This window comes from Homo sapiens, chromosome 2 (genome assembly GCF_000001405.40).
Source record: "Homo sapiens chromosome 2, GRCh38.p14 Primary Assembly".
Classification (NCBI taxonomy): Eukaryota; Metazoa; Chordata; class Mammalia; order Primates; family Hominidae; genus Homo; species Homo sapiens.
The window spans coordinates 202,716,259-202,736,504 of NC_000002.12; the positions used below are offsets into that span (position 1 = coordinate 202,716,259).

General features: G+C 37.5%; 1 protein-coding gene across 1 annotated transcript in view, besides 1 other annotated feature; it reads left to right on the forward strand.

The window, feature by feature from the left end:
* The window catches only part of FAM117B (family with sequence similarity 117 member B), a 134,789-nt gene that overhangs the window by 81,290 nt on the left and 33,253 nt on the right, over window positions 1–20,246 (forward strand). Inside the window, exons 3-4 of the mRNA NM_173511.4 lie at window positions 8,659–8,751; window positions 9,992–10,105. Coding sequence (NP_775782.2) covers window positions 8,659–8,751; window positions 9,992–10,105 — 207 coding nt within the window. The remainder of the gene's footprint in view (window positions 1–8,658; window positions 8,752–9,991; window positions 10,106–20,246) is intronic.
* Window positions 2,495–2,695: a silencer, noted in NCBI's record as "peak4017 fragment used in MPRA reporter construct". NCBI's record gives its function as "represses an SCP1 promoter by STARR-seq MPRAs in K562 erythroleukemia cells {active_cell/tissue: K562}" and the evidence as "EXISTENCE:reporter gene assay evidence [ECO:0000049][PMID:32103011]".

Below are 20,246 nucleotides of genomic sequence, written 5' to 3' on the forward strand. Positions count from 1 at the left end.
GCGTATATAGTTTTTCATAAATGAAATGTGTTTCTTGTAGGCAGCAGATCATTGGGTGTGTTGTTTTTATTCATGTAGCCACTGTGTGTTTTGTTTGGAGAGTTTAGTCCATTTTCATTCAATGTTGTTATTGATGAGTGAAGACTTACTCCTGCCATTTTGTTATTTGTTTTCTGGTTGTTTTGTGGTCTTCCTTCTTTCCTTCCTTCCTGTCTTCCTTTTAGTGAAGGTGATTTTCTCTGGTGGTATGATTTATTTTCTTGCTTTTTATTTTTAGTGTATCTGTTGTTGTATGTTTTTTGATTTGAGGTTACTACAAGGCCCCGTTTGAATAAACTTTCTACCCCATCTCTTTCTTTACCTCCCTTGTAAGGCCTATAACTATTCAGTTTGCCCTTCTGAGGCTATTTTCTAGATCCGGTAGGCATGCTTTATTGTTTTCGTTTTCTTTTTTTTCTTTTGTCTCTTCTGAGTCTGTGTTTTCAAATAAACTGTCTTCAAGCTCACTAATTCTTTCCTCTGCTTGAGCAGTTCTACTACTAAAAGACTCTAATGCATTCTTAAGTATGTCAGTTGCATTTTTCAACTCCAGAATTTCTGCTTCTTTTTAATTATTTCAATCTCTTTGTTAAATTTGTCTGATAGAATTCTGAATTCCTTCTCTGTGTTATCTGGAATTTCTTTGAGCTTCCTCAAAACAGTTATTTTGAATTTTCTATCTTAAAGGTCACATATCTGTTTCTCTAGCATTGGTCTCCGGTTCATTTGGTGAGGTCATGCTTTTGTGAATGGTCTTAATGCTTATGGATGCTAATCTGTGTCTGGGCATTGAAGAGTTAGGTATTTATTGTAGGTCTTTGTAGTCCAGGCTTGTTTGTACCTGTCCTTCTTGGGAAAGCTTTTCAGATATTTGCAAAGACTGGGTGTTGGCTGGGTGCAGTGGCTGACACCTTTAACTCTCCAGCACTTTGGAAGGTTGAGAAGGGCAGATTGCTTCAGCTCAGGAGTTTGCGACCAGCCTGGGTAACATGGTGAAATCCCATCTCTACAAAAAGAAATACAAAACAAGCCAGGTGTGGTGGCATATGCCTATAGTCTCAGCTACTTGGAGGCTGAGGTGGGAGGATCACTCAAGCCCAGGAAGGTGAGGCTACAGTGAGCTGAGATGGTGTCACTGTACTCCATCCTGGGTGACAGTGAGATCCTGTCTCAAAAAAACAAATCATAGGTGTTGTAATCTAAGCTGTGTCTTTATTAGGGTGCACCCCAAGCTCAGTAATGTTGTGATATTCTTGCAGAGTTGTAGATATACTGCCTTGACAATGTTGATGAAGATCCAGAAGAATTATCTGGATTACAAGGCAGAGACCCTTGTTCGGTTCTGTTTCTTTCTCCCAAACAGAGTGTCCTTCTCTGTTCTGAGCCCCCTGGAGCTGGGGGAGGGATGACACAAGCACCCCTGTGACTACTATCAATGTGATTGCACTGGGTCAGACCTGAAGCCAGCACAGCTTTTCACCCAAGGCCTGCTGTAACCACTATCTGGCTAATGCTTTTGATTGCTCAAGGCCCTGGGCTCTGCAGTTAGTAGGTGGCAAAATCAGCTAGGTTTGTGTCCTTTCCTTCCTGGTGGTAAGTTTCCCCAGGCCCTGGGCAGGTCCAGAGGTGTTGTAGGGAGCCAGGGACTAGAGTCAAAAACCTTAGAAGTCTGCCTGGTGAGCTGGCACTCAGACCACAAGATGCAGTCCTTCCCACTCTTTCCTCCCTTTTCCATAGGCAGAGGAGCCTCACCTTGTAGCCACCACTACCACAGACCCACAGGTAGTACTGCCAGGCCACTGCCAGTGTTCCCTTAAGGCCCAAAAGCTCTTCAGTCAGCTTGTGGTTAATGCTGCCTGGCGTGGAACTCACCCTTCAGGGCAGTGGTTTCCCCTCTGGCCCAGGGCAGGTCCAGAAATGCCATCTAGAGCCAAGGCCTGGAATCGAGAACCCCAACAGTCTGCTTGGTGCTCTCTGCCACTGTGGCCAAGCTGGTACCTAAGGTGCTTTCAGTTTTTCTTCATTGAATATGGTGTTAGCTGTGGGCTTCTCCTTTATGAATTTTATTTTATTATGTTGAGATACTTTCTGTTATTCCTGGTTTGTTTTTATCATGAAAGAGTGAATTTTGTGAGTTTTTTCTGCATCTATTGAAATGATCATATAATGCTGTTCTTTATTTTGTTAATGTGGCATATTATATCAGTTGATTTTTTTGTTTATTGAATCGTCTGTGCATCCTAGGGATAAATGCCACTTCGTTGTGGTATATGATTTTTTAAAAATTTTGTTGTTGGTTGGGTTTGCTAGTATTTTATTGAGGATCTTTGCATCTATATTTGTCAAGGAGTAACTAATACATTTTTTAACCTCATTAAAAATAATTTTGAAGATGTACTCCAGGTCTCAGTAATGAACCTGGCCCTATGTGCTCCACTCACTGATGCTGCCCAGCGATCTAGTTTGTTTGGAATGCTTTTCCCACCATTTGACTGGATGACTCATACTCTGGTAGTATCTCCTCATTCCATAAAACTGTGCCTACCGACCTCCCCTGTCCTTCAAATTCTGGATTAGATGCCTTAGGGGACTTCTATCATCACATATATCATAATTAGCTATCTATTCCTTCTCTCCTAGAAGAAGCTCTTCGAGAATAAGAGCTGTATTTCCTCTTGACCTCCAATCGTTAATCTAGTGTCTGACACATTATTAGATACTTTAATATAAGCCTTCTAGTACATAAGACAAGACTGAACAAAATGAAAACATTTAATTAAAACTCAATTTTACTTTTTATTAATACCTAAGTGTCCTACAATCAAAGCACAGCTTCTTAGTTGAACAAAGAAAGCAATTGTCTTTTACATTAGGCATATAAGTAAAACTGATGTTTTTGCTAGGTATTTTTTCCTGCCCTGAATATCTTATCACTGAAGTGACCAAAGCTGTCTGTTGTTCTTTATGCTTATTTTTATTTGTCTTAGTAATTAATAGTGTTACTCTCATCATCTTTAATTTGTTCTTAATAAATCTATGGGAATCTTTTATATACCTTTGCTTTTCTTTGAATTAATCCTGATTTTTAAAAACTTTTTATTTTGAGAAAAATCTTAAGTTTACAGAAAAGTTGCAAGGATATTAAGTACCAGTAAACCTTTCACCTATATTTACCAAGTAACATTTGCCACATTTTGCTTTATTTTTGTGTCTGTATGTACAATTATGTTATAATTTGCTAATCGTTAGTAAGTTGCAGACATTCTAACTCTTCTTAACTATTTCAGCATGTATATGAACAGGGACTTTTAAAAATACCAATAAACTTATCAAATTCAGGAGATGTAAGATTGATATAATACTGTTATTTAATATATGGTTTATATTCCAAATTTTTCAGTTGTTCAGAATTTGTTCTCTGTAGCAATTTCCCCTGTAAGCTAGGATCCAGTCAGGGAGCACACATGGCATTTACATGTCATTTCTCTTCAATATCCTTTAATCTAGAGAAGTTCCTCAGCCTGAGTTTTTGAGTCTTTCATGACATTAATGTTTTTTAAGAGTGTAGACCAGTATTTTTTTGAATGTTGTCAACTTGGGTTTATATATTCCTTTATGATAAGATTCAATTTGTTACATTTTTGTTAGGAATACTGTATGTGATGTATGTTCCTTTCTGTGCCTGTGGATCAAGAGGTACATGAAGTCAGTGATGTTAAGTTTGATCCATCAGAACCCTTTGTAACTAATAGTAATTTGTGGAGAAATATTTGAGATTGTAAATATTCTGTTCTCCAAGAAACATTCATTGGTTTTAGCATTTGTTGATGATTATTACTTAAGTCAGTTATTACTATAATAGTTCCAAAGTGATGACTTTGTAGCTCTGTCATTCTTCTGTATTGATTTGTTGGTCTAATACTTTCTAATGGAGGTATTTCTTTATGGAATTGTCCTAAATGGAGTTCATAAAATATCAGTGGAAATGACCTAAGATTTTTCTCCTTTTTATTATGGAAATGTTAAATATACAAAAAAAAAATCAGAATACTACAGCTGTGATTCAAGAGTTTTAAACATTAGTCATATTTGCTTTACCTGTCGTGTGTGTGTGTGTGTGTGTGTGTGTGCGCTGCAATTTTTGAAAGTATGTTGGAGATATGACATTTTTATCCCTACATATTTTGATATGTATCTCCTAAGAATATTTTCTATATAGCTACAACAGCATTAGGTCACCTAAAAAAATTAACAATTCCATAATATCACATAATAACCAGTTTATGTTAAAATTTCCCCAATATGTCTTTTTTTTTTTTAATGACCCAATTCAACATTTATACATTACACTTGGACCCAAAAGGACCCAGTTCCACATTCATACATTGCACTTGGCTTCTCTTAAGTCTTTCTTAATTTAGAACAGGTCATTCTCGCACTTTTTTCCTTAATTACATTAAGTTTTTAAATGAATTATTCACTTTGGAAAGAAAATAAACTGTTTGGTTTTGTAATTAGCAAGTAATTTGCGAGTTTTGGCACCGCACAAATATCCTGTTCTTTAGTAGCTTTTACCTAGTAGTTTTCACTTCCATTGATGATCCTTGCCTACTTCAGTTGTTTTCTTGGAGGTTGCATGTGCCCAAGCACACAACCACATACACAAACACAAATGAACAAGAAAAACTGATTTTTTTTGGTTACACACAAAATATCATATTCTATACATTTTTCTGCAACCTTGTATTTCACTTACTATATTAAGGAGTTTTCCTAAATAGAGGGATTCCCTCTTATCTCTAAGGGTTCCTCCCCTCTTCCATGAGGAGAGGTATAAACCAACTTTTTTTTTCTAACTATATTTGAGAACCTCTATAAGCTCTGAATTAAATATTGAACTAACATTTGAAATGCAAGGATAAAAATTTAAACAATTTTTGAATTTGGAATTGTATTTATAAAGCATCTCTTCATCATGATTTTAGCCTGAAGTTTTCATATAAATAGTAATATAAAATGTATGAAAGAGGGGTTATCATTTACATTTGATTAGAATTTGCAAAAAACTATTTTCATAAAACTTATTCTGTTTCTATCCTCTGTTTTACATGAAATTATTATGGTCATTTTTTTCATCAAAAAATATTTGCATTCTTTCATATATCTTTATGACCATAGAGATAACAAAATAAGTTACGACTACTTGGCCTAATGGAATGAAAATAATAATAAACATTTACTGAGTGAATGTTTTGTTCTTGGCACCGTGCTTAAAAATTAAACCCTTTACATATACTAACTCCTTTAATTACCTTATAATTTTAGTATGTAGATGACATTATTCCTTTTTTTTTGAGACAGGGTCTCGCTCTGACATCCAGGCTGGAGTGCAGTGGAGCAAGCACAGCTCAGTGCAGCCTCAACCTCCCAGGCTCAAGCAATCCTCCCACCTCAGCCTTTCAAGTAGCTAGGACTACAGTCGTGAGTCATGAGGCCCAGCTAATTTTTTACATTTTTTTAGAGATGAGGTCTCCCTGTGTTCCCCAGGCTGGTCTTGAATTCCTGGGCTCAAGTGATCCTGTAGCCTTGGCCTCTCAAAGCACTGGGATTAGCCATGCATAAGCATGAGCCGCTGTGCCTGGCCTGACATTATTCTTATAAATGAGGAATTTAAAAATTCATATAAGAGAAGCATCTTGTAAAGATACAATTTTTTTTTTTTTTTTTTTTGGAGATGGAGCCTCTCACTGTCGCCCGGGCTAGAGTGCAGTGGCGAGATCTCAGCTCACTGCAACCTCCACCTCCCAAGTTCAAGCGATTCTCCTGCCTCAGCCTCCCAAGCAGCTGGGATTACACGTGCCTGCCACCACGCCCGGCTAATTTTTTGTACTTTTTGTAGAGACGGGGTTTCACTATGTTGGCCAGGCTGGTCTCAAACTTCTGACTTCGTGATCCACCCGCCTCGGCCTCCTGGGATTACAGGCATGAGCCACCACGCCTGGCCCAAAAAATGTTATTTAACTGATCTGAAACTTAAACATGTTTGTTTAACACCAACATATGTGATTCTGAACCACGCATACTATGCTGCTTATTCACAATAGCAACGACATGGAATCAACCTAAATGCCCATCAACAGTAGCCTGGATAAGGAAAATGTGGTGCATATACACCATGGACTACTGTGCAGCCATAAAAATAAACAAGATCATGTCCTTTGCAGGAACATGGATGGAGCTAGAGGCCATTATCCTTAGCAAACTAACACAGGAACAGAAAACCAAATACTGCATGTTCTCACTTATAAATGGGAGCTAAATAATGAGAACACATGGACACATAGAGGGGAAGAGCAGATTCTGGGGCCTTCTAGAGGGTGGAGGGTGGGAGGAGGGAGAGGATCAGGGAAAATAGCTAATGAGTACTAGGCTTAGTACCTGGGTGACGAAATAATCTGTACAACAAACCCCCATGACACGAGTTTACCTGTTTACCTATGTAACCAGTACATGTACCCTTGAACTTAAAAATTAAAAAAAAAAAATTCATTTGTTAAGGTTTTAAATTTTATAGTATTAAGTTTATTATTTTGATTTTGGTTTTTGATTTTGATACTTTATGCTATATGGTCCTATTTACATGTTGATCTTTGTGACAGGTATTTTAACAATGGACTTAAAGAGCCTGTGGATCCTAATATGAGAAATTATAAGTACAGTAGGGGTCACCTCTGGGATGTGTGACATCAGTTGGTAACCTCAAAGTGAAACTGGAGTTTAGGGTGAAATAGGGCATAGAGTGGTGGGAAGTTGACCAAATTGTAGCCCTTCCTTTTGATTCAGTGTATTTAAGGATCCTTGTCAGAATGGAGTCCTTTTGGCTATAAGGAGAAGATCCAGACCTGGGACATGACTAATTAGAATCACAGTGTCTTCATTTTTGAAAACTTTTCCTTCCCCATTTGAAACTAGACCATTTTATAATTAGTAATTGGTACGTTAATAGTGCAAAAGATATTCAAACTGCACAGTATTTTTTGGTATTTTTTATTATTTCATGTACAAAATTCAGAAGGTACAGAAGGGTATACACTAAGGGTCTTTTTCCCCAGAGACAGCCACTGGTACCAATTTTCTTTGTTACCATCTATTTTCTTCCAGATATAATTTACACACACATGCATTCTTTTTAGCAGTCCCATATAAAGGCAGTTGCTATACACACGGTACTGAGCCTTGAGGTTTTTCACTTAACAGTATATCATGGAGATTATTTCATGTCTGTATATTGTGAATTTCCTTATTCATTTTTATAGCTGCACAGTACTCTGTTATAAAGGTATACCATAATTTATTTAGCCAAACCTAAATAAATCTAACTTACTTACATTGTTTCAGTCTTACTTGTAAGAACAGTGCTACAGGGAATAATAGGCAAGTCATTTTGTACATAAAGATGTGCATTTGGTATCTGTGCAGGATAAATTGTTAAATAAGGGGTTGCTGTGTCAGTTTGCGCATTTATAACTTTGACAGCAGGTGCTGAATATCCCCCCATAAAGGCTGTATGCTCCCACTAACAATATAGGAGAGTTTATATTAGCAAATTGCTCAATCTTGTTGAAGCTTTAACTTTCATTTCCCTTCTTATCAGTGAGGTTGAGCATAGTTTCATGTGCTAGGAACTCATTTGTATTTTCTTTCCCAATACACTTTTTAAATTCTGGGTTTGGTATAACTACTTAAGGTTTAACTTTTTTTTTTTTTTTTTTTTTTTTGAGACGGAGCCTCCCTCTGTCATCCAGGCTGGAGTACGGTGGCACGATCTCGGCTCACTGCAATCTCCACCTCCCGGGTTCAAGCGATTCTCCTGCCTCAGCCTCCTGAGTAGCTGGGATTACAAGCACACGCTAATTTTTGTATTTTTAGTAGAGACAAGGTTTCACCATGCTGGTCAGGCTGTTCTCGAACTCCTGACCTCGTGGCCTGTCCGCCTTGGCCTCCCAAAGTGCTGGGATTACAGGCGTGAGCCACCGCGCCCAGCCAGGTTTAACATTTTTGAAGCTGTTCTCTGAAGATACTTATGGCAAGACTAGACATAATATAGAAGTTAATATTACAAGCTCTGGAGTCTCAGGTTTATTTCTTGGCTTTGCCGCTTGTAACACCTTAGGCAACTTACATGTGTTAAGTCAGATAAAGCATATGAAAGCACAGTGCCTAGCACATAAGAGCACAAGAATGTTAGCTATTATTAGTGTGCCTGGTGCGTGCTAATAATAACTGACATTATTAGCTATTATATGTTAGTTAACTATGGTAACTCTAGTTATTATATATAGTTAACTTTGTTCCATAAATGCTTTATTTGTAGTATAATTATAATTATGTAAAAATACTAATTTTTTATTAGCAATAAAAATGAAGTATGCCAAAATATTAATTGTAATTAATACCAGTTAAGTAACTGGTGCCAGGAGAATTTTGAGTAATTTGTGTTAATTATTTTTAATGTCTAATTTTTTTGTAATGGAAATATGTTTTATAATAGAAAAATATGGTAGACATTGTTGTGAAATGATTTTTGTTAAATACACCTCCCCTCTTTTTTCATTACAGACAGAGAGTGCATGGGCTGAAGAATACTCTGAAAAGAAGAAAGGGTCTCACAAGCGCTCAGCATCTTGGGGCAGTACAGATCAACTTAAGGAGGTCAGAAAAATGGTTCTAAGATAGTGGGTGTGGAAATATGATCCTTTTGTTGGCTATTTCCTTGATATTATGGGCAGCAAGGATTTGTCGTTTTCCATTGATTTCTTTTTTCTTTTTGGCTTCTGAAATAACAAAAACAATTATTGTGTTGATTTAATAAAGATTTCAATAGGGATATTTATATATCACTTACCTGATTATGTATGTTTGTCTTTTTTTAGGAGAATTCATACCTGTCTATTAACATCAGATTTAAAAATTGTAACAATACAACAAATTCACATTTATTCTTTTTTTTTTTTTTTTGGGGTGTGCATGTGTGTGTGTGAGACGGAGTCTCGCTCTGTTGCCCAGGCTGGAGTGCAGTGGTGCGATCTTGGCTCACTGCAGGCTCTGCCTCCCAGGCTCAAGCAATTCTCGTGCCTCAGCCTCCCAAGTACCTGGGACTGCAGGTGTATGCCATCATGGCCAGCTAATTTTTGTATTTTCAGTAGAGATGGGGTTTCATCATGTTGTCCAGGCTGGTCTCTAACTCCTGACCTCAAGCAGTCTGCCTGCCTTGGCCTCCCAAAGTGCTGGGATTACAGGCATGAGCCACCGCACCTGGCCACATTTATTATTTTTCTATATATGGTGGTGTTTCTGAAATGCAGTACTCACTATAACCATGATGGTTATGGCTCCATGCTATGATTACCATTTTCTGTGCTGCTAATTAGTGACATTTTCATTTCACACATAATGTAGAAATGCAAAAACTCGGTCAAAGAATAAATAAGATATTCATTGGAATTGCATTCGTTATTTAAAGATGATATCTGTGAATATATTTCATGACTTGAGTTGATTTTTAAATACTGTGTAATTTTTGGAACTGTTGAAAGCTAGGTGTTCAATAAATCTAAATTGAAATAAAAATTAACTTATGGTAAAGGCAATGAGAATGATTGTTATTTTTTTAATTCTTCGTGAAAACTGTAATGTAATTTATTCTAAGTGCTGAAAACTATTTGTGTAGTACTTGGGAAGCTCGAAGGCTGAGAACAATGTTGGAACATATACACATACATGCATGTGTAGATGTGTATAAAATTATGAACAAAAAATGAGACTTTGTGATATGGTTCAAAAATTCAAAGGACTTATTAAGGGTAAGTTTTACTGGTTCTTATTAAGCAAGGATGTGTTTTTGTTTCATGTAGAAAACACTCTGGTGTACTTGCTATTTTTGCTTTCTCAGATTGCAAAATTACGCCAGCAGTTGCAGAGAAGTAAACACAGCAGTCGGCATCATCGAGATAAAGAAAGACAGTCTCCATTTCATGGCAACCATGCAGCTATTAACCAGTGTCAGGTAAGAGTACCAATACCACAAAATCCAGAAAAGGAATTTGTTGTTTTTCTGGTGATTTGTTATTTCATTGGTAATTGTTTAGGACAAAAATGCTCAAAAACATATTTGAAACAGTGATTTAAATACTGAATCACAGTCTTTATAAGAAAACAGAATATTAAGTTGACAAAATGATATTTTCCTTTAGTGACCTAAGATACGACTTCTAGGAGACATAGCTACTTATCTATTTTGGTTTACCATATTTTTGGCTTTATCAGTTCAATATTTTGGAGGCAGAATGACACAGAGAATTAAGCATTGGGTATGGAACAGGCCCTGGCTGAATAACTTATCTTTTCTAAGTCTCAGTTTCCTCATGTGAAGATGGGAATAATAATACCTGTCTCGGGCGGGGAACATCACACACCAGGGCCTGTTGTGGGCTGGGGCGATGGGAGAGGGATAGCATTAGAAGAAATACCTAATGTAAATGATGAGTTAATGGGTACAGCAAACCAAAACGGCACATGGGTATGTATGTAACAAACCTGCATGTTGTGCACATGTACCCTAGAATTTAAAGTATAATTTAAAAAAATGTAAAAAAAAAAATAGCTGTCTCATAGAAGTCTTTTGATAGAGACAAACCTTTATCTGCTTTGATTTTTTAGTAGAACCCATGAACTGCTCTTGATGGCTCATCCATCCAAAGAACACTTTTTTTTACTGAATTGAAATTGGATGAGATCTCTTGGCAAGGAGAAAGCAAGTTCATTTCAGGTCTTTTCAGGATCTTTCAAGTTCCAGAATTGAAGCTTTGGGAATGAGGAAGGCTGGATTGAATTTTCCATGTTAACAGTAAGGCAGCAGGGCCTGGAAGGTAGAGGGAAACTAGAAGACTTAGTTCTGTGACTCTCAGGTTGTTTTATAATACTGGAGTTGGCAAACTGTGGCCCGGGAGCCAAGAATGTCCCACCATGTGTTTCTGTAAATAAGGTTTTATTAGAAAACAGTCACTCTCATTTTTTATGTATTGTCTATTGCTCCTTTTTGTGCCACAAAAATATACATTTGACTCTCTATATCTTCAGGTTTTGCATTTATGGATTCAACCAACCATGGATCAAACATATTTTTGGAAAAATAGAATAGAATATGTATAAATATAAATATATTTTAAAATATAATTAAAAGTACAAATAAAAATACAGTATGACAACTATTTACATAGTATTTACATTGTATTAGGTATTATAAGTAATCTGGAGATTATTTAAAATATACAGGAGGATGTTCCTAAATCATAATGCACTTACCATGCCATTTTATATAAGGGACTTGAGTATCTGTGGATTTTGGTATTTGGAGGGGGGTCCTGTCCTGGAACCAGTCTTCTGAAATTGAGTAGTTGAAACAGAGACTGTCTGGTTCACGAAGCCTAAAATACTTACTGTTTGGCCCTTTACAGATAAGGCAGGCCAACCCCTTTTATAGTTTGGTAGTGTCTGATGTTTGTTAAATGTATAGATTGTTTGCAATGGAAAGTATGGGTAAAGGTATAGACTTTTTCAAACTGATTTTGCCCCAAAATATTAATACTCGGGTCAGATTTGATTTCACAGGTTTATAGAGATTGTTTTTTGTTTGTTTTGAGACAGGGTCTTGCTCTGTCACCCAGGCTGGAGTGCAGCAGGGTGATCACAGATTCACTATAGCCTCGACTTCCTGGGTTTATGTGATCCTCCCACCTCAGCCTGCTGAGTAGATGAGACTACATATGTGCACCACCATGCCTGGCTAATATTTTTTATTTTTTATTTTTATTTTTGTAGAGATGGGGTCTGTGTTGCCCAAGCTGGTCACTAACTCCTGGCTTTGAGTGATTCTCCCACCTTAGCCTCTCAAAGTGTTGGAATTACAGGCATGAGCCACTATGTCCAGCCAAATTTATAGTTCGATTATAATTTCCAGTAACTTTTTTCTATATTTGATATTTTAATTAAAAACATGGTTATACATTAGTATTCGTGTATATTCTGTACAAACTAGATTTATTTCTGGAGAAATAGAAATTTTAAATTGACAAAATAAGAAATGAAAAATTTGTAAAGACTAATAACTTTTGAATTTGGAATGTTAATTAAAAACCCAGTCTCACTCTCAAGAGGCTGAAGACCCAGATGATTTTACAGATGAATTTGCCAACCTTCCCCTTCCTCTCATTCATTCATAAATAAATGGTATGTGTTTCTAAAAAATAAGGCCACTTTTTACTCCCAGTCCATATTTTTACTCCAAGTAGAATAGGGATTAGGATGGAATTTTATTGAATTAAGTGGCTAGTTTTAGGACTTCAGAAGTTTCTGAAGTGATTATTTTTTAAACTTGTGTTAAAACCAACAATTTTAAAGTGGTTATTCAAATTTTCATTTTTTTCTTCTTGCAAGTTGAATTTACTTAATAAAGATTATTGGAATTTACTTGAAATTTATATTTAATTTAAAAACATTTCCTTGCAGAGAGGGTAAGGACAAGAAAATAGAGAAACTTGAAAAATAGTTCATCTAGTTTGAGTTTTGTACACTTGACACATCAAGCGTCTTAACTGTTTCTCCCATTTTATTTAGTGTTATCAGCCAACCGCAAGTCAGGCACATGTGCATCATGATAGTAATGACAGTAGTACTCATGTTTAATTGAAACTCACGCTGGCCGGGCACGGTGGCTCACGCCTGTAATCCCAGCATTTTGGAAGGCTAAGGTGGGTGGATCACCTGAGGTCAGGAGTTCGAGACTAGCCTGGCCAACATGGCGAAACCACATCTCTACTAAAAATACAAAAATTAGCGAGGCTGGCGGGTGCCTGTAACCCCAGCTACTTGAGAGGCTGAGGCAGGAGAATGGCTTGAGCCCAGGAGGCGGAGGTTGCAGTGAGCAGAGATCGTGCCACTGCACTCCAGCCTGGGTGACAGAGTGAGACTCCATCTCAAAAAAAAAAAAATTTAAAAAGAAACTCTTAGGCTGTAAACATGAAAATAATTTCTATTAAGTTATTGTTTTGGTGGGTTCTCTATCTAGTGGAGAAAAGTGCCACACGATACATGTGTACTTCTGAGGCCATTCATCAGCCCATACAATATTTATTAATCATTTTGGCCTGTGACCGTAGTACTCATTAGGGGATGTGGTGATAAAAGAAATATTGTCTGTCCTTACCAGTTCTCATATTAAAGAGATATGAGTAAACAGTTAATTATAACACTGTATAATGAATGTGTTGATAGGGAGAATTCAGAATGCAACAGAAGATGTGTTTATTTGGAAAAGGATGGAGTCATCTAGAAAGACGTCTCAGAGAAAATGGTGTCTAGCTGATCCTTGAAAGATAAGTATAAGGTGGAAAAAGTCATGTCCCCAGATAGGAGTAGTGGTAAGAGATTAGGCAGGATAGAGAGGTAAATAGCAGCCAAACCTGAAAGTCTCCATGTTCACTTATTAAGACATTTAGACTTCAACCTAGGCTATTTTTTAAAATGCAGGATATGGATATGTGACTATTTCATAATGGTCATTATGGGGTCAGATATAGAACGAATTGGGAAGAGACAAGATTAGAAGTAGGGAAATAATTTAAGAATAGGATTTAGTGATCCAAGTAAGAAATGATGGCCTCTAGTAGGGTAGAAACTTTTAAACTGCTGAGGATGAACTTGAGTGATATTTAGAAGGTAAGAATTAATAGTTGAATTCTATTAAAAGGGTTTACTATGGTAAGCATTTGGATACATTATTGGCATTCAATCCTCATCTTTAAGGTGGGGTTTGTTAGTCTCTCCATTTTATAGACAAGAACATCAAGGCCCAGAGAGGTCAGGTATATTGTTTAAGGTCACACGAGACAGCCAGAATTCTAACCTAGGCATTGTAACCTCAGAGTCTGAGGTTTTTAAACTCTGTGCTAGCTGATGGTTGACAATATTTGAGAAAAATAGAGATGAAAGTTAAGGATGATGTCAATTTTAACTTTTAAAATATGATTTAAGGCCGGCCGTGGTGGTTCACGCCTGTAATCCCAGCATTTTGGGAGGCCGAGGCGGGTGGGTTGCTTTAGCCCAGGAGTTCAAGACCAGCCTGGGCAACATGGCAAAACCCCCTCTCTACTAAAAACACAAAAATAAGCTAGGCGTGGTGCCGCGTGCCTATAATCCAAGCTACTCGGGAGGCTGAGGCACGAGAATAGCTTGAATCTGGGAGGCGGAGGTTGCAGTGAGCTGAGATTGCACCACTGCACTCCAGTTGGGGGAGATAGAGTTCTCTAAATAAACAAACAAACAATGAAAAAATAAAAAATGAAATAGGATTTTAGAAGTTTATCTATCTACCTCAGCACCATATATAAAAGTAACTCAAAATCGTCAAGGACCTAAATGTAAGAGCTAAACCTAACAGCTCTTAGAAGAAAATGTAGTCATAACATTTGTGACATTGCGTTAGGCAATGGCTTCTTAGAAATGACACTAAAAGCAAAAGCAAGAAAAGAAGTAGATAAATTGTACTTTATCAAAATTAAAAACTTGTGATTCTAAGGGCATCATCAAGAATGTGAAAAGATAACCCACAGAATAGGATAACCCACAAATCATATATCTGATAAGGCATTTGTGTCTAAATTACATAAAGAACTCTTGCAACTCAGTAACTCACAAATCATATATCTGATAAGGCATTTGTGTCTAAACTACGTAAACAACTCTTGCAACTCAGTAATTTAACAAAAACATTTAAAAATGGGCACAGGATCTGAACAGAGAGTTCTCCAAGGAAGATGTACAAATAGCCAATAAGCACATGAAGAAGATGCTCAATATAATTTGTCAATGGGGAAATGCAATTCAAAACTCCAGTGAAATACCAGTTCATATGCATTAGAATGCTGTAATTTAAAAGACAGATAATAAGTGTCAGGGGAGGATGTGGAGAAATTGGAATATATATATATATATATATATATATATATATATATGGAGAGAGAGAGAAGCTCCTTCTCAATTAAAAAATATATAAACTTTTATTTATTTTTATTTTATTTTATTTATTTATTTTGGGATGGAGTCTCTCACTGTCGCCTGGACTGGAGTGCAGTGGCGCGACCTTGGATCATTGTAACCTCCGCCTCCCGGGTTCAAGCGATTCTCCTGCCTCAGCTTCCTGAGTAGCTGGGATTACAGGCACCTACCACCATGCCCGGCTAATTTTTTGAGTTTTTAGTAAATACAGGGTTTTACTGTGTTGGCCAGGCTGGTCTCGTACTCCTGACCTCGTGAGCCTCCTGCCTCGGTCTTCCCAAGTGCTAGGATTACAGACGTGAGCCACTGCACCCAGCCTACTTTTTTTTGTTTGTTTGTTTGCGACGGAGTTTCACTCTTTATGCCCAGGCTAGAGTGCAATGGCATGATCTTGGCTCATTGCAATCTCCGCCTACCAGGTTCAAGTGATTCTCCTGCCTCAGCCTCCTGAATAGCTGGGATTACAGGCGTGTGCTACCACACCCAGCTAATTTTATATTTTCAGTAGAGACGGGGTTTTACCATGTTGGCTGGGTTGGCTGCAAACTCCTGACCTCAGGTGATCTGCCCGCCTCGGCCTCCCAAAGTACTGGGATTACAGGCATGAGCCACTGCACCCAGCCTATTTATTTTTCTTTTTTTTTTTTTTTTGTATTTATAGTAGAGATGGGGTTTCACCTTGTTGGCCAGGCTGGTCTTGAACTCCTGGCCTCAGGTGATCCACCTGCCTCAGCTTTCCAAAGTGCCGGGATTACAGGCGTGAGCCACCGCGCCTGGCTGGAACTTTGATATATTAATGGTAGGAATGTAAACAGTTGCTTTGGAGAATAATGTGGCAGTTCCTCAAAAGATTAAACGTGGAATTGCCAAATGGCCCGGCACTTCCTCTCCTAGGTATATACCCAAGAGAATTGAAAATATATGTCCACATAAAAACTTGTACATGTATGTTAATGGCAGCATTATTCATAATAGCCAAAATGTAGAAAAAACCCAATGTCTATCAGCTGATAAAAGGGTAAATAAAATGTGGTATATCCATATGATGGAATTTTATTTGATCATAAAAAAGAATGGAGTACCAGTACATGCGACAACATGCCTGAACCTTGAAAACATTATGCTGGCCAGGCACGGCGGCTTATGCCCGAAATACCAGCACTTTGGGAGGCCAAGTTGGGTGGATCACTTGAGGTGAGGAATTTGAAACCACCCTGGCCAACATAGTGAAACCCCATCTCTACTAAAAATACCAAAAAATTAGCTGGGCATGGCGGCACGTGCCTGTAGTCCCAGCTACTCGGGAGGCTGCGGCAGGAGAATCACCTGAACCTGGGCGGCAGAGGTTGTGCTGAGCTGAGATCGCACCACTGCACTGCAGCCTGGGCGACAGAGTGAGACTCCATCTCAATAAGTAAATAAATAAATAAATAAATAAATAAATAAAAGAAAACATGCTAGTAAAAAAAAAAAAAAGACACAAAAGGGCACATAACATACGATTCCATTCTTAGGAAATACCCAAAATAGGCAAACCCATAGAGATAGAGAATAGACTGGTATCGGGGGAACCGCCCCCAATATTTCAACGTAGGTTCTATTTTCCCTAAGTGTCGGCTAGTCTGAGAAATAAAGAGAAAGAGTACAAAGAGAGGAATTTTACAGCTGGGCTGCTGGGGGTGACATCACATATTGGTAGGTCTGTAATGTCCGCCTGAGCCGCAAAACCAGCAGGTTTTCATTAAGGACTTTAAAAGGGGAGGGGGTGTATGAACAGGGAGTAGGTCACAAAGATCACATGCTATAAAGGGCAATAAAGATCACAAGGCAAAGGGCAAAGCAAAGATCACAAGGCAAAGGGCAAACTTAGAATTACTGATGAGCTTCTGTGTTCAGCTGTGCACATATTGTCTTGATAAACGTCTTAAACAACAGAAAACAGGGTTCAAGAGCAGAGAACTGGTCTGACCTCAAATTTACCAGGACGGGATCTTTTCCCCACCCTAATAAGCCTGAGGGTACTACAGGAGACCAGGGCATATTTCAGTCCTCATCTCAACCGCATAAGACAGACACTCCCAGAGCGGCTGTTTATAGACCTCCCCCCAGGAATGTATTCCTTCCCCAGGGTATTAATTATTAATATTCCTTGCTGGGAAAAGAATTCAGTGATATCTCTCCTACTTGCACGTCCATTTATAGGCTCTCTGTAAGAAGAAAAATATGGCTCTATTCTGCCCGACCCTGCAGGCAGTCAGAACTTTGGTTGTCTTCCCTTGTTCCCTAAAATCGCTGTTATTCTGTTCGTTTTCAAGGTGCACTGATTTCATATTGTTCACCCATGTTTTACAATCAGATTTCATATTGTTCAAACACACATGTTGTACAATCAATTTGTACAATAGTGTTCCTGAGGTGATGTACATTCTCAGCTTACAAAGATAACAGGATTAAGAGATTAAAGTAAAAACAGGCATAAGAAATTATAAGAGTATTATTTGGGAACTGATAAATGTCCATGAAATCTTCACAATTTATGTTCAGGGATTGCAGTAAAGACAGGCATAAGAAATTATAAAAGTATTAATTTTGGGAACCGATAAATGTCCATGAAATCTTCACAATTTATGTTCCTCTGCTGCGGCTCCAGCCAGTCCCTCTGTTCGGGTTCCCTGACTTCCCACAGCAGACTGGTGGTTGAGTAGGGCTGGGAAAGTTGGGGAGAAATGATGAACGACTGCTAATGAGGGGCTGCTTTTGGTATGATTTGAAAATAGATTGCAGTGATGGTCACACAACTCTGTTCAATACCATTAAAAAACCAAAGTTAGCTGGGTGTGGTGGTACCCGTTGTAGTCCCAGCTACTAGGGAGGCTGAGGTGGGGGGATTACTTGAGCCCAGGAGTTCAAGACCAGCCTGGGCAACATAATGAGACCCTGTCTCTTAAAAACAGCAACAACAAAAAACCCATAGTTGTACAATTTAAATGAGTGAATTGTATGGTATTATACATTATATTCTAGTAAAGCTTTTAAAGAAATGTCAACCAACATGAAAAACACAAATATATAAAATACAAATACAGTTGTCTAGAAATAGTAAATTAAATTAGATGCTTAAAAAGAACCAAAAAAGTAAACAGGGAGGTTATTTAACAGTGCACTCTGAGGTCAGACTGTTTGGCTTGAAGTGTTGAGTCCTGCTGCCTGCTAGAGGTGTGAAGTTCCTCAGTTTCTCTGCATAGTAATATTACCTGTTCGTTGTGTTGTCCAGAGGCTTAAATGGGATAAAATGTTATAAAACTCTTTATGCAATTCTAAGTACATAGTAATTTCTCAGTATCTTAGGCCATTTGAGGGAGCACCTAAATGTAAAAGATGTAAACAGACTTGGTTTCCTTGCCAATTTCTTGTTAAACTTTTTAAAGCTTTTATTATTACAAAAGTACTCACAAGCTCATTATAGAAATTTTAGAAGCTAAGAAAAGTCGAATAGAAAAATTATCTCTAAAGAATTTTTTTAATGAAATAGGAAAATTTCCAAAAGAGAGCTGTATTTCTGTATCTTTCTCCCCTATTGCTGACATTTTTTTTCTTTTAAGTGTTTTATTCTTTGCATTCCTCATTGAGAGCATATTATATGTTAGATTACACTGCCTTTTTGTATTTAACATGGAACATTGTGAGTATTACAAATGCTTCATTTTTGCTGTCTTAGATTCTGTAGAACATTTTCCTAGTTAAGGTTATTTAGTTGGGTCCATTTTGTGTGTGTGTGGACTTAAAGCTTTTTCAGTATTTATTCTTTTCCCAAGATAGGTTTTTATATTATTTGATTAGGAAGCTTGAGTATTTGGGGGATTCTTTGTGTGTTTTTCTGAGACTTTTTACAAGTTATTACAGTATTTTGTTTGTATTTCACGATATGCAGAAGATGATTTTTACTAGGAAATTAATCTCTTAACATTGAAGGGACAGTATTGCTGTTAGGATAGTGGTGTAGTCTACAGCTACTAGTTAACAAAAGATAGTTTTTCTTGGGCTTACAGTTAGAAAAGAATTCTCACATACTTTTCTGCATGTTTTTTTCCCCTGGAAATTCAGGGGAGATTATTCATTAGGAAGAATAAATACTGCCAGGTTTCTTAGAGCTAGAGTCTTTCACATTTCAAAGGTTTCCCCAAATGACAAAACCGTCAGATGTTTAAATGAAATTGTCTCATTAGAAAATATAGCCAACACATTTCAGAATTATTTGATTGAGTGTTAGAGTCTGATGTTAGTAACAAGAGTGGGAGATGCCAGCATCTTCACAGTCACATAAACTAATTTTGAGGTAAGAATTTTATTTTTTTATTATTTTTTACAGTAGTTATGTTTTTTTTATTATACTTTAAGTTTTAGGGTACATGTGCACAACGTGCAGGTTTGTTACATATATATACATGTGTCATGTTGGTGTGCTGCACCCATTAACTCATCATTTAACATTAGATATATCTCCTAATGCTATCCCTACCCCCGAGGTAAGAATTTTAAAAGTGTGTGGGTGTTTTGTGGCTGTTACTATAGCCTCAAGCAAGAAAGCCCTTCCATAGGATTTTCTTATTTCTTCATCTGGGCTGAAGACGCTTACTAGCCTAGGAGGGTTTGAGAGCCAAGAGACAGTGAGGTAGAAAAAGAAACTTACTTTTCTCTGAGGAATGGAAGGTGCATTGTAATTTGAAAATGAAAATTACTGCCCTACACTAAAATCTTGGGATGTCAGTCCAAAACAGAGCATGAATGTTATTTAATTTTTAAAAGTTTTTTGCCGTTTCAAAATTGAGAGAATAGGTACTTTTGCTGTGACCTTTATTACAGAATATAACTGCAGCTTGGAAGAGCTGTAAAGGTAGGTACCAGATGAGAGGACAGTGATTGCTGGAGGACAGAAATGAAGTAACAGTGACAGGATATTAAGAATGAAGGCCACATGGTGGTCTGGAGTCAAAGGCCCTTAAGATTGGAAAGCTTTTTTTCAGGTGCTTACTAATTTTTTTACCATTCTAAACAAGTTTTTGGCTGGGCGCAGGGCAGTGGCTTAAGCCTAT